Source organism: Homo sapiens, chromosome 2 (assembly GCF_000001405.40).
Source record: "Homo sapiens chromosome 2, GRCh38.p14 Primary Assembly".
In the NCBI taxonomy this organism is placed as follows: Eukaryota; Metazoa; Chordata; class Mammalia; order Primates; family Hominidae; genus Homo; species Homo sapiens.
Genome location: NC_000002.12, coordinates 84,444,093 through 84,468,626, shown reverse-complemented (window position 1 = coordinate 84,468,626; position 24,534 = coordinate 84,444,093). Strand labels below are relative to the sequence as shown.

Below are 24,534 nucleotides of genomic sequence, written 5' to 3'. Positions count from 1 at the left end.
TATATGCGTGACCTTGTCTATTCTCTTCTCCTCCCTGTACTGTCTTAAATTTTCTTTTCTCTAAGCACCTGGGAGGTTATCTTTGGTAAAGTTCAAAAGCCAGAAATATCAGTCATTTGGCATAAGAAATTCTAAAAGGGCTTTATTAAAGAGTGCTATGGTTAAAATCAGTTTAGTTAAAAACAGATATTCAAGCTCTAACAGCCTGGACTCCTTGGGGTAAACAGGAGGCACCACAGACCCTTTCCTGGCCCTGTTCTTCCAAGGGCTCCACCCTAAAGCTAGTAATCCAATTAAGAAACTTAAAAACCGGCAAATGAAAAATCTTACAACTACTGTAGTAATCTTCTTCTGTCTTTGTGTGTAGCTATATATGTGTTGTGTGTAATGTTTATATAAAAAAACTCTAATTAATTGCCTTAAATAAAAATAAGCACTTAAATCAAATATTTTGAAAGTTAAATAAAAACTAACGCTTTTTACTTCAGGTAACTTTAGTAATCTTTGGGAAATAAAAACAGCTTTAAAAACTATTGATAAAATAAAAACATTTAGTCTAAATTATGTAGGTCAGATATTAAGTTTGCTAAATGCTTTAAGGTCATATAAACCACCTCTTTAACTTTTAAAAAGTGTTCAATTTATTAAAAATTATTGATAAAAGAAAAACATTTAGTCTAAATTATGCAGGTCAGATTAAGTTTGCTAAATGCTTTAAGGTCATAAACCACCTCTTTAACTTTTAAAAATTGTTCAATTTACCTACCTTAAAGCCATTAGATTCTAGATAAGGCCTGGGGACATGTGGAATTAGCCATGTCCCCTAGCTACACAAAGATTATAAATAGAGAGATTTTATATAAGAAAGGATCTCATATGTTAAATTCTTGTCCTAAAGTAAAATGACTGGTTGTTTAAAAGGAGGGATGTTTAGGGCAAGTCAGAAAGTCCAAGAATGTCTCAGATGGTCTGTGTAAGCCATGAAAGGGTTTATGCAAGAAATGTTGTACAATTCAAAGGTTGTTAGACCTCCTAAATGCCTCATAAAATGCCACTATGACTCTCACTCTACAACTTGCTTGCTTAAGTAAGGTACGGCCTTGGGACATGTGGAGTTAGCCTCCTAGCTATGCTGGAGTCAGCTCTTATCTGCACTTCTGCCTGTTGTCTCCTAGGCTAGGCTCCACACCTGGCACATAATTAAAATCTTGAACTTGTCAAGGTTTTCATCAAAAATAAAAGTTGCTAAGCGTTAACACTGTAACATGTAATTGAGACTCTTGAAGAAACAGTTTTATATGCAAGATGTGTAAGAAAAGTAAAATGTGTTTATGGTAAAAAAAAGATTGTAAGAAGGCATGGGAATGTGGATTTTTCTTGCCTAGATTAAAGGATTAAAGGATTGTTTTAAGTTAGGATAAATCTGAAGGTTTAAGCAAGTTGTAAAAGTTTTGTGAAACATTAATTGTAAAAGAGATTCTGCGTGAACACACTGGCTAAAGTTAAAGGGGTATTCAGTTTTTCTGTAAACTGAACATTGGAATAAATGCAAACCAGGTTTTTCTTAGAGCAAAAACCTGCTTATGATCTGCTCTTTAACAAAAATTTGTAAAAACGGTGTTTGGTTTTCTTTGGGCTGTATTTCTATAAATGTGTTATTGGTATATGTGTTCCAAAACTATGGGAAACTCCTATAATTTTGATATGACTTAGTGTACATTATCAGTAATGATTATAATTGTTGTTTTGAATTATTGTATGCCACAGAGGTAACCAAATTTCTTTGTCAATCATGTTTTTAACTGTGGCTATCCTAAGACGTTTTGTCATCCACAAATGATTGTTACCTTGTTTTAATCCTCTTTAGAAGTTGGTTTATAATCAATTATAGAACTCTAACTGGTATTCTTAAATGCAGGTTTTCTGATAAGTGGAGACTGTGACATCAGAATAGAGGAAAACATTTTCAGAACTCTCATAGAGAGCTATAATGTTCATAACTATTAAACAGAAGTTAACTACATGAACTAAGCTGAAGAAGCCTAATCTTTTTAACTTTGCTTAAAATATTGCTGATCCTTTGTTTTGTTTTTCAGAATCGAGGAAACTTTTTTTTGAGCTATTTACAGGTTTTAGCAATTGAGTAGAGTAAGCTACTGTGAACAAAATTTGCAGCATATTTGTTTCTCTCTACCTGATTTCTCCAAAATTTGGAAACTGAGAGTATTCTTAATTTATAGCAATATAGTTATTTGCATAAGTGCAATAAGAATCTGTTTTCTTTTGTAACAGGACACAATTGGAGAAATTGATTATTTTACCAAGGCTTTGACTGGAATGGTGTGCTTTCCTTTAAGGAATCAAACTTGACTTGTAGAGCCAATAAAAGCCCTTTGGGGAACTGGCCTCATACCTTGCCTACACAATCCCTGTACAGGGTTTCTGGCCTGTAAGTAAAGAAGTTAAGTAAATAACGGTAGGTAAAGAATGCCACGTTCTCACAGGTCCAGGAGCCCCAGGTTACCTTGGGACCTCAAAAGGAGAGAAATTTACCCAACTCATAGGTATTTGAGGATAAAAACCTATGGCAGGGCTCGGCTTTAAAAAAGTCTTATCTGAGATTGTTCTATGGAAGAGAGTTCCATCAAAGCCAACTTAAAAAGAGCTTACATGAAAAATAATTATTCTTGCTGTACTTTATACAAATAATCAGGCCAAGTATAATAAAACAAATTGGTCTTATCATGCTTTGTCTTTAGTAAAAATTGGAATTATTAGATTCTAGTCTTATCAATTGTTTTTAAGTTTGTCTTTGCAATTTAGGCTAACCCTGCTTATTCCTGTGAAACAACTAGTAATCTCTGACTGCTACTCAGAAGAAACAAGAGGGTTGGGTAATGTAAAAATTTGGATCAATACTCTAATCCTGGGCACATATTGGAATCATCTAGCAACCCCGTATCAGCTTGGTTCCAACAATTCAATTGCCCAGTCCATGGAAAGCTTTCTAATTTAGTTTTCTTGGAATAACTTTACTTGTTTACCCTTGTGGAATATATTGCTGTTATACTCTTTGTGTGGGAATACAGGACAAGCTTACTGAATGTTTTCTTTTTTTTTTCTTTTTGTTTTGAGACAGAGTCTCACTCTGTCGCCCAGGCTGGAGTGCAGTGGTGCAATCTTGGCTCACTGCAAGCTCCGCCTCCCGGGTTCACCCCATTCTCCTGCCTCAGTCTCCCAAGTAGCTGGGACTACAGGTGCCTGCCACCACACCCGGCTAATTTTTTGTATTTTTAGTAGAGACGAGGTTTCACTGTGTTAGCCAGGATGGTCTCGATCTCCTGACCTCGTGATCTGCTCACCTCAGCCTCCCAAAGTGCTGGGATTACAGGCGTTAGCCACCACGCCCAGCCTGAATGTTTTCTTAAATTAAACACTTACTAATCTTCCAGATATCACTTTTTGTCAAAACTCAAGCGTTATGAATGGACCTTACCATAACGAGGCCTTCTGACTGAGCTCCTCTCTACCTTGAATGCAAGAGACCCTCACAGTTAGGCAGGAATATCATTGCCTCATTCAGCCTGAAGAAGTTAGAGAATATGGATCTTTGCCCCTCTACAACCCTTAGAATTAAGGGTTCTCTTATAAAAGGGAGGGGGGAAATGTCAGAGGCGTGTGAACCAGAGCAATTCCATCTTAAATAAGAGCTGGGTAAAATGAGGCTGAATCCTACTGTGCTGCATTCCCAGACACTTAAGGCATTCTAAGTTACAGGATGAGATAGGAGGTCAGCACAAAATACAGGTCATAAAGGCCTTGCTGATCAAACAGTTTGCAGTAAAGGAGCTAGCCAAAACCCACCAAAACCAAAATGGTGACCAGAGTGACCTCTGGTCATTCTCACTGCTACACTCCCACCAGTGCCATGACAGTTTACAAATGCCATGGCAACATCAGGAAGTTACCCTATATGGTCTAAAAAGGGGAGATATGAATAATCTACCCCTTGTTTAGCATATCATGAAGAAATAACTATAAAAATGGGCAACCAGCAGCCCTCGGGGCTGCTGTGTTTATGGAGTAGCCATTCTTTTATTCCTTTACTTTCTTAATAAACTTGCTTTCACTTTGCCCTGTGGACTTGCCCTGAATTCTTTCTTGCATGAGATCTAAGAACCCTCTCTTGGGATCTGGATCAGGACCACTGTCTTGTAACAAGTCCACAAAGCTGGAACTTCTGGGGGAGTAGGAGAGACAGAGCAAGACAGCAAGAGTGCATGTCAGAGCAAGGATGCAAACTGGTGGCAAGATGCAGCTAAATGGTATGTTTTGGCGAGCGGGGATGTTTCTTGTAGCCCACGGAGGCTGAAAGGTTCTCATATGCCTGAGAAGAGCCCAGAGAGAGCTGACAGAATCAGAGCAAAACAGGCCTTCAAAGTAGGAGTAAATGATGATGCAGCAGTAGCTTGGACCACAGCTAAGGACCAGATAGAAGGATGTATGTATCAGGAGATGCCAGCACAGACAGAAGACAAAGTACTCCTTACACTACATCCACCTCACCCTAGCATCACTCCAGGAATTTAGACAAAACTCTGGTGAAAGGAAAAGAATCTGACATTCTGGTAGAATGGGGGGTCACAAAAAATCAAGGTAAGATATAGAACTATAATTGCTTTTCAACATAAGGAGCCAAAATTTATCGAATAGGCAGAAAACTCCAAATCTTGGTCAACTCTTCTCCCTTCTGCTCTGACTGGATTCCACACATGAGGGACTATAATGAATTTATTTCGTTAAAAACAATGCAAATGAAAAAAATGCAAATGAGAGACTTTGCTCCAACAGATTGAAACTCATTACTTAGCTCAGTCTTGTCAAGATTCTTGGTTGCAGAAAAGATACCCCCTGGAGCTGCTACTCTACACACCAGCCACCCAGACTGCTGAGTCTCCTGACTCCGCACATATCTCTAATTGTCCCTGTTTATTCACACATTAGTGAGAACATGGAAGGGTGGGGTAGGGGGAAGGGATATATGTATATGCTTGAATACACACACAAAAAACGCTCTGGAAGGATACACAAGAAACTGGATAGTACTGGCTTCCCTTTGGGAGAACCAGGTGGTGGGGAGACTAGAAGGAAGATTTCTCACTGCTTATATTTTAATACTTATTGTACCTTTTGAATTTTCATCCACGGTAATAAATTACCTATTTCAAAAACCAACAACTAAAGGTTCCATCCAATCCAATTAAAAACTTCAAACTTATACCTAATTTAAAGCTCCTCCCTCCCTCCCAGGTCTGGCATGATCTGTGGCTCCACAACCTGCAGCTGGGAAGGAAGGGGCTGAGGTCTGTCTCCCCCTCTTCTTTTACTCCTCCTCCCTTCACACCCTTGCTGTATGTTCCTGCAGTAGTGGGGTTTGGTTTGGATACAATCTCTTAGATGGTATTATTTGTGGTTCTCTCCTGATGTTCTATTCTCTCTTTGGAATGCTGGCTCTTTCTGAGCACTTCATGGATTTTTCAGAAACTCCTCCCCCACTCCCCTGCACAGTATCCTGACGTGAGTTAGGTACTCTTTGGCTGGCCTCCTTGTAACTCTTCCTGCCTTCCTCCTCCCTCTGGGGGTTTTCTACAGTCTTTTATGCTAGGGTTCCTTGCCTCAGAGGATGGCATGTCTCTCAGGGGGAGGTTCAACTTTCTTTCTTGGTATGCATTTTACTCACAGGAATATTAACACATCTTGATACACCAAATATTGCCCTGCCTGCTGATGAGGACTGCTCCAGCTAGCTTCCTGCCATTGCAATTCTCTAGGAAGGAGGCAGACATAGCCTTAACAGTTAGGCCTGCCTTCCAAATTCAGGTTTCCTCAAGCATTCTCTGACCAAGACCTATCTAGCTAACTAAGGTGGACTCATGAATTTCTGCAGTTCTATAGGGATTTATCCTGAGATTTAATACCAGTAATGTTTTGGTAAGAAGCCCTCACCCACAAACTTGGCTGGGAGTGGAAGGAAACAAGAACATTAAACTGCCAACTGTAGACTCAGAAGCATCAGTCCCCTTGTTAATCCAAAATATCTGAGACAGGTCTCAGTCAATTTAGAAAATTTATTTTGCCAAGGTTAAGGATGCACTCGTGACTCAGGAAGTCTGGATGACAGGTGCCCAAGGTGGTTGGGGGTACAGCTTGCTTTTATACATTTTAGGAAGGCATGACATATCAATCAATATTTGTAAGATGTACATTGGTCCATCCAGTAAGGCAGGGACTTCCTGGTTAGAAGTAGATAAGAGACAAAAGGTTGCATTCTTTTGAGTCCTTGATCAGCCTTCCACTGAATACACAATTTAGTCTGGCTCAGTGAATCTGCATTTTTACATAAACAATAGGGCAGAGGGAGCAATCAGATATGCATCTGTCTCAGGTGAGCCTCAGAGTGATGACTGAGTTCTGCCTGTCCTTTATCCACCAGGAATTTCCTGTGGGCAAATTGTGAGGGAGGTATGTAGCTTATTATCTTTGTAGCTATATTATTTAGGAATAAAATGGGAGGTAGGTTTGCCTCAGGCAGTTCCCAGCTGGACTTTTCTCTTGGCTTGATGACTTTGGGGTCCCGAGATTTATTTTCCTTTCACACCCTCATACAGTGAATTCTAGTCTTTTGCTTATCTGAGCCGGCTGGGATGTGGGGGTGAGAATTCAAAGACAAGTTTGGCCACTTCCTATCAAACTTCAGAGAGAAGTAGCTCCTAGACTGCCCTCCTTATGGATGTGGAGGTAAGGCTTGTTGTCTTCAGCTTTAGAGCTTTAGACAAAGTTTTGAGACAAATAGAAATATCCTATTCTAATTTGGTTACTCACTTTAGTTAAAACCTTTAAAACATGATCCTGCCATGTAAAAAAGACAGTTCTTTAATGATAATAACTACCATTATCGACTATTTGGTACAAGGTGACAGTAGCTTTATATACTAAATGTATTAAATGTTCACAACACTCTTATGAAATAGGGAGTTTCATACCCATCTCAGTAATAAAACCTGAAACCCAGAGGTCATGTAGCCAGTGGCAGAGTTGGAATTTGAACCCAGACCTGTCTGATTTCCAAACTCAATCTGCATACAAAGATGAGTGGTGTGGTATTGACTAGTGTGGTTGTCCCCTACCTATGAGCTACAGAATTGAGGTAGGGGTGTTCCCGGACCAAACTGAGGGTTGGGCTGCTATTTTTTGTGGCCCAATAATGAGATGTAGATGAACTGGGGAGGAAGAGAGTTTTTATTTCTGCAACCGATTACAGGGAGAAGGCCTGGAAATTATCATCAGACCAACTTAAAATTACAGTTTTCCAGAGCTTATATACCTTCTAAGCTATATGTTTACTTGTAAGTGTGCATTTATCTAAAGACATAAGTGATTAACTTCTTTTAATCTATAACTAAGGTCTGAGTACTGAAGACCATCCTCTGAAGCCTCAATAAATTTACTTAATCTACATGGGTTTAGGTGCTGGGGTGATTACCCTTATCTTATCCCCTGCTAAATCACAGAGGTTTGGAGAGTTCTTTCAGACCTCCAATAAACTTGTTTGTGGAGGCCTGGGGAGTTTCTTCGGACCTCCAATAAAACTTGTTTAATCCTAAATGGGTCCTGTTAAGAATTTCTTCATTAATTTGTCATGCTTCAAGGCCCAGGAAAGGCCTAGGCAAAACCCTTGGTGGGTTTCTGTTACATCTCAGCCTTTGTATAAGGGCACTGGCTTTTAATATTTAACTTAACCACTCAGTCAGCACTGAAACATTGTTATGGAGGCCTGCGTTAGTGAGACCTGGTCTGCCACAGGGGTGCAGTTATTACAAGAGGTTGAAATATCCTAAGTCCATCAAACATTGCCTGTGGATCCAAAAAATAATCTATATACTACTATTTCTCCTATATATATCAATTCAATTCAACGATGAGTTATTTGTGTAAGGCATTGTTCTAGGTGCTGGGGATACTCCAGGATACAAAACAAACAAAAATCCCCGTCTTCATGGAAATACAAATTTTCATTAAAAGTGTACTGAAATTATATTTTTTGTCATCATGCATTTTATCAATTAAATGAAACTAAACATATAACTTATCAAGCGACAGCTCAGGAATAATTTTGCTATTTAAAATAGCAAGGGATTTTCTATTTATTTGCCATAAAAATGTCCATTTTGTTATAATGGATATATCTGGAAACCACTGATACTATTTAACTCTGAGGAATTTAGTTATCACAAGAACATGATCCATGAGGGAGGAGTTTATTTGCAGTGAAGTCCAACCTGTTAATGACAATATTTGGATCATAAAGGAAGTATTGGGCAATCTCCTGGGGTAATCCCACTCATCCATCCCACAGCTCAGTGCCAATTATAATGACTACCTAAGTAAATTAGGATTGCAATTTTATTGACAATTCTGATGAGGAATCTCAGGAGCACGATTTTCGGCAGAGACGCAGATTACTTCATCTCTTGTTTACCTTTTGACTCTGGGACTCTCTGAGGTTCCTTCTAAAGCTGTTACAGAAGAGGGAACTGTTTGTCCAATCAGGGAGCAAAGTCACATTTGACCTCGAATTTCAGCCCTTAGGATCCTCAGGGAATAAACACTCATGCACTTAGTGCTAGTCAAAGACTGCATGATTATTTAACTAAAAAAATTCACATTCCAAGAAGTTAACTGTCAGTAAGATAGGTTTTGGTCTTTCTCATCACATCTTTCCCTTCACAGGCCACCAGTGCCAGTTCGAATTCCCGTCCCCAGCGGCAACCCTTCCGGGTCCAGGCACAGGTACGCGGTGAGAAATATTATTCTCTCTAATAGCAAACGAGGAAAACGAAGGGGGAAGGAGATGGGCCTGGGATACAAAGTTCTGGCACTGCTCTTCGCACCTCACCTCGCTGTTTCTTCCCTCCTAGTCTTCAAGTCCCTTGTCTCCCCGGTCTCACTGCCGCTCTTCCCTCGCTCCCTTCCCGCCGCCTCACTCAAAAGCTACGAACCAGTCGCGGCCGTCAGACTACATTGCCCACAATGCCACGCGCTGGCCAGTCTCGCGTGGGGTTTTCCCTCAGCTGCTGTTATAATTAATGTTAATCAAACCCACATTTCTAGGAAGGAGCCGAGTTATTATCTGCCTCTCCGATAGGATGCCTCTTTGTCTTCACCTGCCATTCCCGCTGTTTCGTGAAGAATCCTCTGTAAAGGGAAATTTGTTCAGGCGACTGCTGTGGCCACCCTCTGCCTCCTCCGGCCTCTGCCCCTGGGAGGTCCCCGGGGGCCTGGGAGTGTCATTGGCGTATGACCGCAACCCTTGCCGCTGCCGCTGACATCGCTACCATGGTCTCCGGCAGCAGCGGCCTCGCCGCCGCCCGTCTCCTGTCGCGCAGCTTCCTCCGTGAGTCCAGCCAGTACTGTCTTCCTGGCGCCCGCGGGTTATTGGCCCCGCCGGACCCAACCTCCTGGCCCAGGCCGCGGCTGGGCCCTCAGGGCTGGACCTCGGCGGGGGCCTGGGAGCCGCTTGGGATTCCGGCTTCGAGTCGGGGACCCCTACGGTGGAAGGAGCTTTGCTGGATACGTGGGGCGGGGGGCATGACTTAGGCCGCTGGCAGATGGAGATATTGGGTGGCTGAGCCAGGATTCGGGTCCGGGAGCCCTGCAAATTTGGGAGCTTGCTCTCGGCCCCGCGGTGACAAATGACAGGATGGGGGTGGCGTCTAGACTGGCCTTATTTGGAGTTGGGGATGAAGAGGTCCAAGGTGAACTTGGTGGGGAAGGTAAGGGTCTGGGTTGAGAGGTAGAGGAAGAGTGTCTCAGTAGGAAGTTGGGGGATGAGGCTGTCCCTAGTACGGAAAGGTCCTGCACTTCGAATTCCCCCTCTGCAGGATTGTATGTCAGGGAAAGATGGTTTCTGCACACGGAGTGGGGTCGGCATAGCCGCATAGACTACTAGAAGCTTATGGTTGGCTGGGACCTAAACCAGCTTATTTGCAGTGTCTCCACCAGGCGATTTGTGGACACATCCGTTCCCGAAAACTTAGTACCCAAGGTTGCTAGTCTTTGAGACACGCTGACTATGGAAAATTCTTGCCATATTCAAAGTCTCTGTGCTTGTCAGGTAGGTTATAGTAGAAAGAAACTTTGGAATCAGCCACATCAGGGTTTGAAGTCTGGCTAGTCCCTTTTCAGTCTGTGTAATAACCCTGGACACTTAATCTGTTTTTCAGTGTTTCCAATCACATGAAAATATTAACACATTTTAAGGGGCCTGAAGCACCATCACTTGTAAGGTGGACCATTATTTTGTTTACCACTAACAATGAAGAACGATTGCTTATTAAAACTGTGACACACCAGTGGTTGTCACATGTATCCTGGTTTTTTAAAAAGTGAAAAAAAATGTGCATTTTAGCAATGATGATGTACAGGATGATCTGGGTTCACTGCAGAATAAGTGGAGCAATTTATATAAAGCATCTCGTATGTAACAAACACTCAAAGTTAGTTTTCTTTTTCCGCTTTGCTCTTAATTCTGCTTGTACTGAATATTTTATGAGACTTAATTCCTTTCTTGAGAAGATTACATTCTGAAAGTGTACATTGATGAGTGTGCACTCAATAGCTAACACTTAGTTGCCAATCACTTGAGGACAAAGGTCTGGCTAGATAACGTTAGCAAGTATGAAATGGTTTGTTTGGTAAAGCTTTCTGGAGATTCTTGAGAGTGTTGTAGGCAGAAGGACAAAAAGAATTCATTATACCCAGTAATCACTCAGGTCAATAAAGTTTGAGCACCAAGAATGAAGTATATTGGATATGGTTTTAAACCAGCTTAATTTGAATAGATAGTGGGTTAGAATGTAGAAGATCAGATGTGCAGCACAGCCACTGTGGTGGGAAACCCTAGGAAGAAGTTGCCCACCTGTGTCTTTCGCTTCTGTGGTCTTGCTAGTCTGAGGTTCTGAAAGATCCTAGCCTCAGGTAGGTCTGCTGTCTAGAAAAATCTAGAGAATAAAGGAAGAGTGTCTAAAAGATCTAGTTCCTTACTCCACCCTTAGCAGTCCTCTCAATCCTCTTCCCACAGAACTGGAAGTGTGTTCTTCCTAGACTCCCAGGATCATTTGGCCCTAGAGTGACCATCTGGTTTAGTTTTGTTACTGGAGTGGGCTTGAATTATTCAAGTCATGTGATTAACTTGTTATTACGGGTCTGAGATTTAAACCAAGATGTATTCTATATTAAGAGGGGTTACAGACAACAATGCTTAATGTGTAAACACCTCTAAATTCACAAAACTCTAACTCCTCTTTCCCATGCCACATTTCCGAGCCCATTTTCACTCCCACTAGAAAAATAGCAGCTACAACATCACCTTGCAAACTTTTTTTTTAAAAAGGGACCAGAAATTATTTAGTCTGTGAAGCTAATAGAGCTACAGATGTTAGGGAATTTTGTTCCCTCTGTTAAGTTTCAACTTATGGTACATTACTTGCTGAAGGTCATAGTGTTGCAATATTGATTAGAGTTAACAGCCACAGAAAAAACTCAAGTGAACACTGGTAGATGCCTTCCGGAGCCCTGTTTTATAGCTTATGAAAAAAGGAAAAGTGGCCTGGCACGGTGGCTCATGCCTGTAATCCCAGCACTTTGGGAGGCTGAGGCGGGTAGATCACAAGGTCAGGAGTTCAAGACCAGCCTGGCCAAGATGGTGAAACCCCGTCTCTACTAAAAATACAAAAATTAGCCAGGTGTGGTGGCAGGCGCCTGTAATCCCAGCTACTCAGGAGGCTAAGGCAGGAGAATTGCTTGAACCCGGGAGGTGGAGCTTGCAGTGAGCTGAGATCGTGCCACTGTACTCCAGCCTGGGCAACAGAGTGAGACTCTGTCTCAGAAAAAGAGAAAAAAGGAAAAGGATCCAGTTGAAGTGGAGAGAGAAAATACAATGAAAAATGAGGAAGAGTTCTTCCATGAGAAAGTTTAAGGATTTCATAAGCACCCTTGAAGTTGAAATAGTGAAGTTTTAAGAGAAGCATAAAGTAATGCAAGGTCTTTTTAAAACTGGTCAGTAGTTTCTGTAACTTGAATCTTTTAGAATAAATAGGGAATAAAAGCCAGTATTTTTGAACCTCAGAATTTTGGTATTTTAATGCCAGAAAGTAAACCTTAAAACCCAACTGGTCCCATACCTTTGTACGGCAGATGAGGAAATCCCAAAAGTTTCCAGTGAGTATCAGAAGTGATACTAGCACCCAGGTCTTCTGACTCTGCAGTATCCTTTCCGCCAGCATGTACCATGTGATAACTTAAGCTTTTTTCGAAGCTCTGATTTTTTTTTGGCAGTCTTAGTGATGTGTTGAGAAGGTGACTATCCTGCTCAAAGGTGTTGCCTTCCTTTTCCCCGTGTTTGCCAAGTGCGTAGGCCTGTTTTTCGAATCAGAGATGCATTTAAAGTGTAGTTTGGAAAATGAGATCCTCAACAGTGATGTTGTGGATATTAGCATCTGTTGCCATTGCATGTAATAACCAAATCTTTATTTCAGAAATACAAAATAGCCTTGATTCAGATGTACCAGTGTAGCCATGAGAAAGTGATTTGATTTTCTGACATCAAATTTGTTTCTCCATAGAAATGTAATTGGGAATATTAAAAATAATTTAAGTACAGGGCAACAATTTCATTTCATCAGGGGACTGGCATACCATAGACCCACATTTTTTTTTTTTTTTTTTGTTTTGAGACGGAGTCTTGCTCTGTCGCCCAGGCTGGAGTGCAGTGGCGTGATCTCTGCTCACTGCAAGCTCCGCCTCCCAGGTTCAAGCCGTTCTCCTGCCTCAGCCTCCCCAGTAGCTGGGACTACAGGCACCCGCCACCACACCTGGCTAATTTTTTTGTATTTTTAGTAGAGATGGGGTTTCACTGTGTTAGCCAGGATGGTCTCGATCTCCTGACATTGTGATCCGCCCACCTCAGCCTCCCAAAGTGCTGGGATTACAGGCGTGATAGACCCACATTTTTTTACATTATAACATTTCTTACATTAGGTTGTGTCTTATTACTGATATATATGTTTTTTTTGAGACAGAGTTTTGCTCTTATTGCTCAGGCTGGAGTGCAATGGCACAATCTCAGCTCACCGCATCCTCTGCCTCCTGGGCTCAAGCCATTCTCCTGCCTCAGCCTCCCGACTAGCTGGGATTACAGGCATGTGCCACCATGTCCGGCTAATTTTGTATTTTTAGTAGAGACGGGGTTTCTCCATGTTGGTCAGGCTGGTCTCAAACTCCTGACCTCAGGTGATCCGCCCGCCTCATTTTTTCTTTTTTACCAGTAATTAATAGTACTTCTTAAAAATCAATGGTGTTTTATATTTGATGAAATATGGTACTTACAGCTTATTAAACTTCACTCGTAAGTCAATATTAAATGAATATATAATTTAACATTTGAATAGTGGGTTGTTTGGAGTTTAGGGGTAAGTGGCTGCTAGCTACTCTGCTGTATTATAAGGTCCTGTAGGTGTAGACTGCAGTAGCCTGTGTCTTACATATGCATAATACATATGGTTAATAAGTGTACATTTGTTAAATTCATGAGTACGTGCACGAATAAATGTTTACCAGGGACACAGTTTGAGAGGTGAGTTGAAGGAGTATTGAGTATTTCATGAATAGAGCCTTGGGTTATTGGTTAGGAGCATGGTACTGGTCATACAAGGCCCATGGTTTGAGTCTCTCCTGGGCAGGTGCTCTTTGACCATAGATTGCATCATTCATCCCACCAGCCATTTTATAAATGATGTGTTACTATCTGTGGTAAAGAGGACCAGTATGTGGCTGACAGGTACAAATCTATCACCCCTGTTGAAAACACATCTCTCTCAGATTACTCAGCCTCTTTCCTTCATTGTCTTTATTACAGTTTGTACTGTTGGTAGTTTTGTTTTTTTTTGTGCAATGTTTAGCTCTTTTACAGGGCAGGAAACTTCATGTGGGTAGGGCCTGAGCCTGTCTTGTTCACCTGTGAATCCCTAGCACCTGACAGATAGCCTGTCACAGTCAACATCTCAAAGCAGTTTGGTCTGCTCATTCTGCATCGGTAATAATAACGCTAATAAAAAGCTCTTAGGGATATAACACTTGCTGTATCTGTTTTAAATGCTTTATATATTACTAACTCATTTAATTCTCACATCAGCCTATGAAGGAGATACTATTATTGTCCGTGTTTTACAGTGAGGGCTGCGCCTTTACAAATGTATTATATGTTAAAAACTTAGAGGTATATTTGTGCATACTGCACATTATATGCAGACATGGATTAGTATGTTTATAAATAAACATATAAGATGTACACAAGGACATGTAGAAAACATTTTTGGCTAGACTTATTTGATTTTAAAATATGAACTATTTTTTCTCTCTTTTTAGGGATAGATTTGCCTTTGTGTTCATGTAGGGTTGTAAACCCAGTTTTGGGAGTGTACCAGAGACTGTGCTACCTGGTGCCAATTTAAGGAGTAATTTCATATTAATATCACAGCCTCCCAGGGGCAGCTGTTATTCCACTTCTAGATGGGAAGACTAAGGCTAAGGGAGATCAAAAGGTATGCTCTGGGTTACATGGCTGCTGGAAGGCAGAGCATAAACTCAAGACCAGGCCTGTCTGATTCCTGCGATGATGTTCTCAGCTGCTCCTGGGACGCAGTCCCAAGGTTAAGCTGGACAATTTCTAAGAATCTGGAAAGAAGGAGGTGGCCTAGGATGTGGCAACTACAGCATTCGCCATCAGAAATTTTTCCTGGTGGCCAACCTCACCTTTCCTGCTCTAATATTTAATTTAAAATACTTATTTTCGGCTGGGCATGGTGGCTCCTGCCTGTAATCCCAGCACTTTGGGAGGCCAAGGCAGGCGGATCACTTGAGGTCAGGAGTTTGAGACCAGCCTGGCCAACATGGTGAAACCCCGTCTCTACTAAAAGTACAAAAAAATTAGCTGGGTGTAGTGATGTGGGCCTATAGTCCCAGATACTCAGGAGGCTGAGGCAGGAGAATTGCTTGAACCCGAGAGGTGGAGGTTGCAGTGAGCCGGGATCGTGCCACTGCACTCCAGCCTGGGCTGCAGAGTAAAACAACGTCTCAAAAAAAATAATAATAATACTTATTTTCTTCTTATTAGTAAAGCTAGGCATCTCATCATATATGGATTTGCAGTTTGTCATCCATTGTGTTTCTTGTTCATGGCCTTTATCAGTTTTTCTCTTAGGCTTTGGGCTCCACTTTTTGTTGGCTCTTCATGTTGCTCACGTTAATTCCTTGTCTGTTAAATGTTAGGAAAACACTCCCCTGGTCTGTCATTGCCTTTAACTCTGCCTATGGTGTGTTTCACTCTGTCTGAATGCTTGCTTTTTTCATGTAGGTAAAGATTCAATTTGTATTATTGCTTTTGGGTTTTATTTATTTAAAAAAATGTCAGCATGGCGTTTGTACTAGATTAATGTAGCTTTGGGGACCGCCAGAAGCATTTTAGGGCCGAACTTCCATGCAGTCTCTATATGAATTTTAGGGAAACCTATGATCTTTATATGTACAAAAATAGATATAGGGTTCTTTTCCCTCTTTGCTGATACGTGGGAGTTCAAGATTGACTTTTTCCAACTCACCGAAAAAGAGACGAACCTTATGGTGTTTAGCTTGGTAGAAGTGTTTCTTTTGGAGACCCTGTTTCTTGTCCTGGAATTCAGTGAAATGTTTCCCATAGACCTACTGTGTGTAAGGCACTGACCATATACCATAGGAGACAAGATGAGTAAGACATGGTCCTGACACTCATGGAGTTTACAGTTAGCAGTGGGAAAAGTATTTAGATGGTACTTGAAATAGTCTTGAAATAAATTTAAGCTTAGATAATTTCACTTAAAAATAACATGATGAAAAGAGTAAGAATATGTGTGCACTCAGTAATGTAGTGTGTGATGGTGTTTATTGTATACCCACATGAAAGCGTTTGTAGCTTCTATTCTTCTTAATCTCAGATCCCTTTTAAAGTCCCCCAGTATACTCATAAATCATGTATATCGTGTGAAGATATAGGAATTCTTGACTGTGTAATGTTTTATTTAAATGTTAATTTATATGGATCAATGTAAGTGAAATTCTCAGAAAGTTGAGGACATTAAATCTTTAATTGAAAGGTAAGAGATATTTGCAAGATGGTTTGGCCACCAATGTATGCCTTGTGTTCTAAATTTCACTTTAGGAAGTCACTTACTGTAGTAATTTGGTGGCTTTGTCACCCTCCCCACCTCTTACACATTCATAGACTTCTCTACCTTGAATAGGTGTGGGGAGTTTATCCACCCCAAATGCCCAAGGCTTTTTTTTTTTTTTATTATAGTACTTCACACACCACGCAGTTATGGCCCACTTTTATATGAGTTCAGATAGATTGTGAATTATTTGAGGGCTGAGACACTGTCATTCATCACTTTATCCTTGACACCTGACATTATGGCTTGGTATGGGTGCTCCTCAAATGTTGATTGAATCAATGAACGAACTCACATTTCAGTACCAGATGATAACCTTGTCTGGCATCATACAGGTTTATTGTCAGGATGGAATGTGATCAGGAATTTCACTTCCTTGCCATTGAATACATTTCTTGGATTTGCCTGTAAGACGATAATAGTCTGTTAGTTCCAGCTTATCTAGAAGTGGGTCTGTATGAGCCCAGGCCTGGTGTGTAGATGGGGAGATCACACATGCATGAGCGCACACACATCTACACCTGTGCATTAGAGGTTTCCCAAGATTTAGTTAATTAGATGCTGCAGGCTCTCAGGGGCATTGCACAGGCTGAGTAACACTAAAAGGCTAGGGGATTGGGAGGTAAGCTGCTGTTTATCACACTTCTGATACACTTTTTATGAGCACCAAAGATCTGATGTTGTAAAATCTTGAGCTCCATAGAATTGATCCAGGAGATCTGGAGTTACTACGAGAAAGCAGAGATCTTCGTTGGTCTGTTATTGGAGCTGTGCTTTAGGGACACAGACAGACCTGCCTTTTCTCAGGGTGACTTCTGCTCCTGTGGAAGGAGAAGTGAATTGTCTGATCTTTGTTAAGTTAGTGAGTATAAGAGTACTTGTGCAGAACCAAACTTTACCTACAAAAAGTATTTTATGTTAACAAGTAGGGACTCCAGATATCCTGATCATAACATCTGATCTTATAATCAAATCTTCTACCTTCTGGTCTGAAAACATATGGTATGATATGATATGATATGATATGAGCATTTGTTGAAGATGCAATGGGAGGGACTGGTAAAGCCAATTCCACTAGTCAGAAATTGTAGCAGGGTAGGAAAGGGTGTAGCTTCTACACAAATACCATGGTTGTAGGTGTTCAGCTGGGAGAAGTGGAAGCCAAGGGCAAGAATGGGTCTCGAATGCAGCACTGGCAAGGGTGGGCTGTGCTGCACAGCTCAGTAGGGACAGGGTCTCAGGCCATAAATCCCTGCTGTGTCCACTGGCCTAGAGTCAGATGCTTAGCTGTGACTGATGTGCCAGAACTTGACCTGCAAAGCCCATGGCCCCTTGTTGAGCACAGTCTAGTATGAGAAAGCTGCCTGTTACGTAGCAGTTCTTTGTGTGTACCAAATATTATCCAGGTGGTAAGGGCTAAATCTGGGCCTGTCTTCTCCCTAGAGGTGTAAGGGATTCCATATACTTCCTCCAGAAGCAGATGTTGTTGCTCTTTCAGTTATGTAATGTGAGGTCAGGACTTAGGTGGGTATGAGGCAGTGATTTAAGGCAGAAAGCATGGAGTGGACTCTGGGCAAATATGTGACAGGTGTTCTTTTTTTGTTGTTCAATAGAGATTACTCCTTATGTTCTTTTCTTGGGCTAGCTTCATGGGCTACCACAATGATAGGTAGAAGGCCTGGCTACTTTGAAAGGGCCAGGGATGGGCCACAGAGAAGTCAGGTTGTTAGTATTAATGGACATTTAGAAGGTAGCCCAAAATTTTAAGTCATCTATGTTCCTCCTACTGTGTTTTGAAATGTGGGGAGCTGGTTGTAGTAACTATTTAGATTTCTCAATTTCTCTTTTAGGTAGGTTGCTGCAATAACCTAGGGTTTTTTTTTTTTTTTTTTCCTAACAAGCTTTTTCCTGTCTTGTCTACTTTCCTATTTGTTTTATTTTCCCTGTGTCTTTTATACATGAGTTCATATCAGAAGAGATTAAGTGATTTTGTATTATATTTTAGATAAGTTTTATCCTATGACTTAACATTTAATATGTTGTTCTTACTAGAGAATGAGTTGCTGAGTGATTTTTACTTGTATTCCTGACAAAGTTTGCCTCTTAGCTTACCTATTTAAAGGTATTAGGCTTTAAAAATTTGGGTCAAGTGGGGAAACGTGGCTGTTTAGTAAACATTGTTAATAGGGGTGACATTTTGTTTTCAGTCCCTGGATTTAATTTTAACCATTTATCTTTGAGCCCCAGTTTTTTTCTAGGAAATAAAAATGATAAACATTGCTTTTTTTTCCCTCAGTTCAGGAAAAAACTACAAGATCGTGGTTCTTGATAAAGAGAGGATCCTGGAGAATGGAACAATGTCTTGTCTGTTTTTCTTATTTCTGTGGTCACTGTGTCTTATTTAAAAGGTGGCATTTAGGTTTGCCGTGATCACAGGATAGCGCGTGCATTAAAGAATTTTTTTTTTGTGATCAAGTTGAATTATTGTTCAAAAGTTTAGAAAAATTATAATGTGTCTTTTTTTTTTTTTTTTTTTTTTTTTAACCTCTTAGTGCCGCAGAATGGAATTCGGCATTGTTCCTACACAGCTTCTCGGCAACATCTCTATGTTGATAAAAATACAAAGATTATTTGCCAGGGTTTCACTGGCAAACAGGTATGTATATCTAGATTTTTATTTTCAAATGTAGACTAGAGATATAACAAATTAACTATTTTTTTATTTTTAATATCTCAAAAATAACACATGATTGTTGCAGAAAAATATACTGTACAGCAATGGGGTTGTATCTCAGGAGGAGGTTAGTTGCTATTGTCAGCCTATAACATAAAAATTGTGTTTAAACTTACCTTGCAAAGGAGTATATTGTATGCTTACTAGGAGTATATTGTTTTGGAGGCCCATACACTTTCTTTCAGCAAATACAACACTAATGATTTTCCTCCAGTGTTGAAAGAGATCACCGTTTCTTTGACTAAGCACTAGGTCAACTAGATTCTTGTGTTTAGGTTTTGTACAAACAGACAAAAAACCGTATTGTTAAACACAGAATCCATATTCAGTGTGGAGAAATGCTCAAACCCAGAGAGGCTCATGGATACTGAGACAAGGGAAGAACCCGCCCACTGACTTTTTTCATCTTATACTTTCTCTGGGATGATGGCCTGGGACTAGCAGGCAGAATTGCCTGAAGTGTTTTAATTTGTTGTCATTTATTTATATTCATTCTCTCATACTCTTTCCTGTTCTTTTCATAGATTTTGTGTAAGTGTAAATAAATATATCTGTGATGCAATTCTATAATAAAATGCCACATAAGAATCTTCTTTCCTTTTTCCTACCTTTCTACTCCCCAGGAACTCCTTCTGTTAACAAGTTGGCATGTATCCTTTCAGATATTTTTCTTGTGCATGCAAACATATTTATATAATATGTGTTTTGTAGTATTTATTATATAGAATTATATATATTTATATAACGTTATCCAGCATATAATATATATACAATCCATATTTCTATAAAATAGATACCTAAAAGTAAAATTGGATGTTATATGGTCTGTGTATTTACAATTTTAATAGCTACTGCTAAATTGAACTTTAAAACATTGGAACAGATTTATTCTTCCACCATAGTAGATGCACAGAATTTTTTTAAAAGGGAATACTATCAAATCAATTAGAGTATAACCACGTGTCTTAACCCAAAGTATCCCTTTTTTTATTATTAAAGGAGATATGGCAAGATAAAAGCAGTCAATTTTTTTTTTTTTTTTTTTTTTTTGGTAATTTAAGGTTAATGATTTTTCTGTAATTAAAAGAATTGTCATGTCAATTCTTCAGTATTTTGGTAATCTAGAGCAGAGGTCAGTAAACATATTCTGCAAAAGGCCAGATTGTAAACATATTAGGTTTAGTGGGTCATACAGTCTGTGTTACAACTACTCAAAAGTATTTTAACAGCAAAAGCAGCCATAGAAAATATTGTCAATGAATGGGCCTGGGTGCGTTCCAATAAAACTTAATTTACAAAACCAGGTAGTGGGCCAAATCCTATAGACTGCAGTTAGCAGATTGTTTCATGTAAAATGGTCCTTTTGCTTTTTGTTTTTTGTTTTTTGTTTTTTTTTTTTTCTGAAATAACTGAGCACACGAATGTGTTGCAGTGGACCTTCTTTTTCTTCTTCCATTCCTCTATTACTGTAAAAAAAAAAATCCAATATCAAAAAATGAAACACCCATAAAACCATGAAACTTTGTTCCTTGTAAAAATGGCAGGATGTGGTAGCCCACACCTGTAATCCTAGCACTTTAGGGAGCCAGAGCAGCAGGATTGCTAGAACCCAGGAGTTTGAGACCAGCCTGGGCAACATGGTGGGATTCCATCTCTACAAAAAAAACAGAAAAATTAGCTGGGTGTGGTGGTGCATGCCTGTGGTCCCAGCTACTCAGGAGGCTGAGGTGGAAGGATCACTTGAGTCCAGGAGGTTGAGGCTGCAGTGAGTCATGATTGAACCACTTACTCCAGCTTGGGTGACAGAGTGAGACCCTGTCTCAAAAAAAAATGTTTATTCTGATAGCTAAATAATCTTATGTATGCCACTTCCCTTATATACATTCTAAGGAAAGTAGATCTTCATCCAAGATTTGAAGTGCATTCTATTATCCCCTTCCCAGTTGATGTTATATCCAGCCTGTTTTTTGTTATATATTAATATGATTAGCATATAATCAAATGTTTGATTAACCCAAATTCTCCACATAAATTTATTATATATAATTTTTTCTGTTTGCCAAATATTATATGATTATGTGACATTTTAAGCTGTGAGCTTTTTTGTAAGAACCATTGCCCATGGTGTAAGCACTATTCAGAACTGTCTCTATATTCTAAATAAGGTGATAGTTTGCCTAAATATTTAAATCCAGAGGTAGTTACAGCGTTTTTCAGTTACCTGCAGTTAACATTGTTTCTCATTCACTCTCCTTTTTTTTGTTGTTTTTAAAGTAAGTGAGAGTGTTAATTGCCTCAGGTTTGTTGATTCAGATTCATTTTAGAGATAATGGTGAGGTCTGAAGTTTAGAACTTACTTCCACAGTAAATCTGCATATTGTCTCATTAGTTTGTTTTCTCAGTACACACATTGTTCCACATATGAATTAAAAATCCTTGCATTTTTAGAGTATGTTTCAGCAATGCAGTTTTCCAGTGGGTGTCATCTTGTTTCTTTTACTGGGTTTATAAGCTGCTAAAATGATTACTGTTCCTAACATTGTACTGGCTGGTGATGATGGTAAAACTAAGAAACATAAGCTTATTTTGAATAGATGTGTTATTCCTGTTTAGCACTACTTTAGGATTAAAATTTGGTACTTCTGAATTTACCTGGCAGTGTAGTCTAGGGCAGTGCTTCTCAGTGTCTGTAGCAAAAAACCAGTGTAGGTGCTTGTTTTTAATTTTCAGTCTAATGTAGATCAATATTTTTATAAAATACAGTAAAAGCTGTAGCAATGTCATACAAACATTTTTACTTTTTTAAATTGCAAACATTTTTACTTTTTTAAAAATTAGATTTTCCCCCTCCCTCTCTCCCTTCCTTCCTTCCTTTTTTTGTTGTTTTTCTTTTTCCTCTTATCTCATTGCAGAGCAGCAAGAGTCTCCAAACTATACTTTGAATAGCACTGCTTTAAGAGAGAGAGAGCACTGGCCTGTGGTTCTTTCAAAACCCTGCCCCTGACTTTAGACAAATTAATTAACATGCTTGGGGCCAAGTTTCCTATTTTGAAAAAGAATTTGAATCAGAAAATTTCTGAGGTCCTTCTTAAGGCCCTGATTTTTATTCCTTTAACAGAACGTGAATAGTTGGGACCACATTTTGAAGGTCCTTGAAATGATCACATAGATTCGTTCATTTTTCAACAGCTATTTATTGAATGCCTACTGTATATTGATTTAGGTGTCATATTGCAATGAACAAAGTGGACATAAATCACTGTCTTCATGGAATTTACATTTTAGTGGTTGGTGGGGAATATATCAACAAAATCAATGAGTATATTATGTGGTATGTTATGAAGTATAATTGCTATGGAAGAAATAAGCCGGGGAAAGGAGGAGTGTGTGTAGTCCTGGTGGTTAGGATGGAGGAGAGGGTGATTTTATATCAGGTGGTCAGGGGAAGTCTGATCTCTGAACTAAGATGTTAAGGAGATGTAGGAGTGAACCAAGTGGATATCTTAGGGAAGGATATTCCATGCAGAGGGCACAGTGAGGCCATGAGGCAGGCATGTGCCTGCTGTGTGGAAGCCACAAGGCCAGCGTGGCTGGAGTGTAATAAGTAGGCAGGTACGGGATTCTGATGTGGGGAGACAGCTTGTAAATTGACTTGTAGGCCAGTATATGGAGTTTGGCTTTTACTTGACTGAAATCTAAGACAATCAGAGTGTTTGATTAGAGGAGTGCCGTGATCTTCATTATGTTTTGACCAGATCACTCGGGCTGCTGTGGGGATTAGATTGAAGGGGAGCAAGGGCAATAACCCGTCAAGAGTTGAAGTGACTTAGACCAAGGTGATAGCAGTAGAAGGGGGAGGAGTTGTCAATTATACTTTGAAGATAGAGAAATAAGCTCTACTAATGGATCTAATATGGGACATATGAGAAAGAGAATAATCAAGGATGGCTTCAGTATTTTTGGTCTGATTATCTGTAAGGCGTGAAGTTGTCTTTAACTGAGATGGGGTAGATGGAGGGGAGTGATTGGGAACTCAGTTTTGGACATGTTGAGTTTGAGATGCCTGCTAGTTCTCAAAGTGGAGGTGTCAGGTAGGCAGTTGACAATGTGAATATGGAGTTCAAGGCTTAGATATGTGGGGTGTATGTGTCTTTGTGTATGTGGGAGGGGTCACCATATGGATGATATGTATTGCCATGATAAGGGATGACATCACCAAGGGCATGAATTTAGATGAAAAAGAGAAGTCTAAGGTGTTGCGGGAAGTCAGGAACCCTGAACGGAGGGACCGGCTGAAGCCACGGCAGAAGAACATAAATTGTGAAGATTTCATAGACATTTATTAGTTCCCCAAATTAATACTTTTATAATTTCTTACGCCTGTCTTTACTGCAATCTCTGAACATAAATTGTGATGATTTCATGGACACTTATCACTTCCCCAATCAATATCCTTGTGATTTCCTATGCCTGTCTTTACTTTAATCTCTTAGTCCCATCATCTTTGTGAGCTGAGGAGGATGTATGTCGCCTCAGGACCCTGTGATGATTGCATTAACTGCACAAATTGTTTGTAGAGCATGTGTGTTTGAACAATATGAAATCTGGGCACCATGAAAAAGGAACAGGATAACAGCAATGTTCAGGGAACAAGAGAGATAACCTTAAACTCTGACCACCGGTGAGCCGGGCGGAACAGAGCCATATTTTTTCAAAAGCAAATGGGAGAAATATCTCTGAATTCTTTTTCTCAGCAAGGAACATCCCTGAGAAAGAGAATGCATCCCTGAGGGTAGGCCTCTAAAATGGCCACTTCGGGGGGCGGCCATCTTTTGTGGTTGCAGCTGTAGGGATGAAATAAGCCCCAGTCTCCCGTAGTGCTCCCAGGCTTATTAGGATGAGAAAATTCCCGCCTAATAATTTTTGGTCAGACCGGTTGTCTGCTCTCAAAGCCTGTCTCCTGATAAGATATTATCAATGCAATGCGTGCTGGAAACTTCATTAGCAATTTTAATTTCGCCCCGGTCCTGTGGTCCTGTGGTCCTGTGATCTCACCCTGCCTCCATTTGCCTTGTGATATTCTATTACCTTGTGAAGCACATGATCTCTGTGACCCACACCCTATTTGTACACTCCCTCCCCTTTTGAAAATCACTAATAAAAACTTGCTGGTTTTACGGCTTAGGGGGCATCATGGAACCTGCCGACATGTGATGTCTTCCCCGGACACCCAGCTTTAAAATTTCTCTCTTTTGTACTCTGTCCCTTTATTTCTCAGACCAGCTGACACTTAGGGAATATGGAAAAGAACCTAAGTGAAATATCGGGGGTGAATTTTGCCCAATATCTGGCTGAATTTCCCCCAATACTAAGGAGAGAGAAAGAGAAGAGGAAAACCAGGGGAAGTCAAGCCCCAGAAGCCTAGTGAAAATGAATCAGTCCTTGGAGCTGTTTTTGGTTGTCATTAACTGGATGGAA

The 24,534-nt window shown here is 40.1% G+C and overlaps 2 protein-coding genes across 3 annotated transcripts in view, besides 2 other annotated features; one reads left to right on the top strand and one right to left on the bottom strand.

The window, feature by feature from the left end:
* DNAH6 (dynein axonemal heavy chain 6) overlaps positions 1–9,055 on the bottom strand; it is a 360,018-nt gene extending 350,963 nt beyond the window's left edge. Inside the window, exon 1 of one of the 2 annotated variants that reach the window (XM_011532650.4) lies at positions 8,952–9,055. The gene's annotated coding sequence lies outside the window, so the exon portion shown is untranslated. The remainder of the gene's footprint in view (positions 1–8,951) is intronic. The other variant, XM_011532649.3, reaches the window with a different exon arrangement.
* Positions 8,801–8,990: a silencer, noted in NCBI's record as "silent region_11686". NCBI's record gives its function as "represses an Ori minimal core promoter by ATAC-STARR-seq in GM12878 lymphoblastoid cells {active_cell/tissue: GM12878}" and the evidence as "EXISTENCE:reporter gene assay evidence [ECO:0000049][PMID:35858748]".
* Positions 9,171–9,310: an enhancer, noted in NCBI's record as "active region_16099". NCBI's record gives its function as "activates an Ori minimal core promoter by ATAC-STARR-seq in GM12878 lymphoblastoid cells {active_cell/tissue: GM12878}" and the evidence as "EXISTENCE:reporter gene assay evidence [ECO:0000049][PMID:35858748]".
* Positions 9,347–24,534, top strand: part of SUCLG1 (succinate-CoA ligase GDP/ADP-forming subunit alpha) — a 35,753-nt gene continuing 20,565 nt past the window's right edge. Inside the window, exons 1-2 of the mRNA NM_003849.4 lie at positions 9,347–9,454; positions 18,875–18,978. Of these exons, the coding sequence (NP_003840.2) occupies positions 9,358–9,454; positions 18,875–18,978 (201 nt within the window). The 5' untranslated portion in view covers positions 9,347–9,357. The remainder of the gene's footprint in view (positions 9,455–18,874; positions 18,979–24,534) is intronic.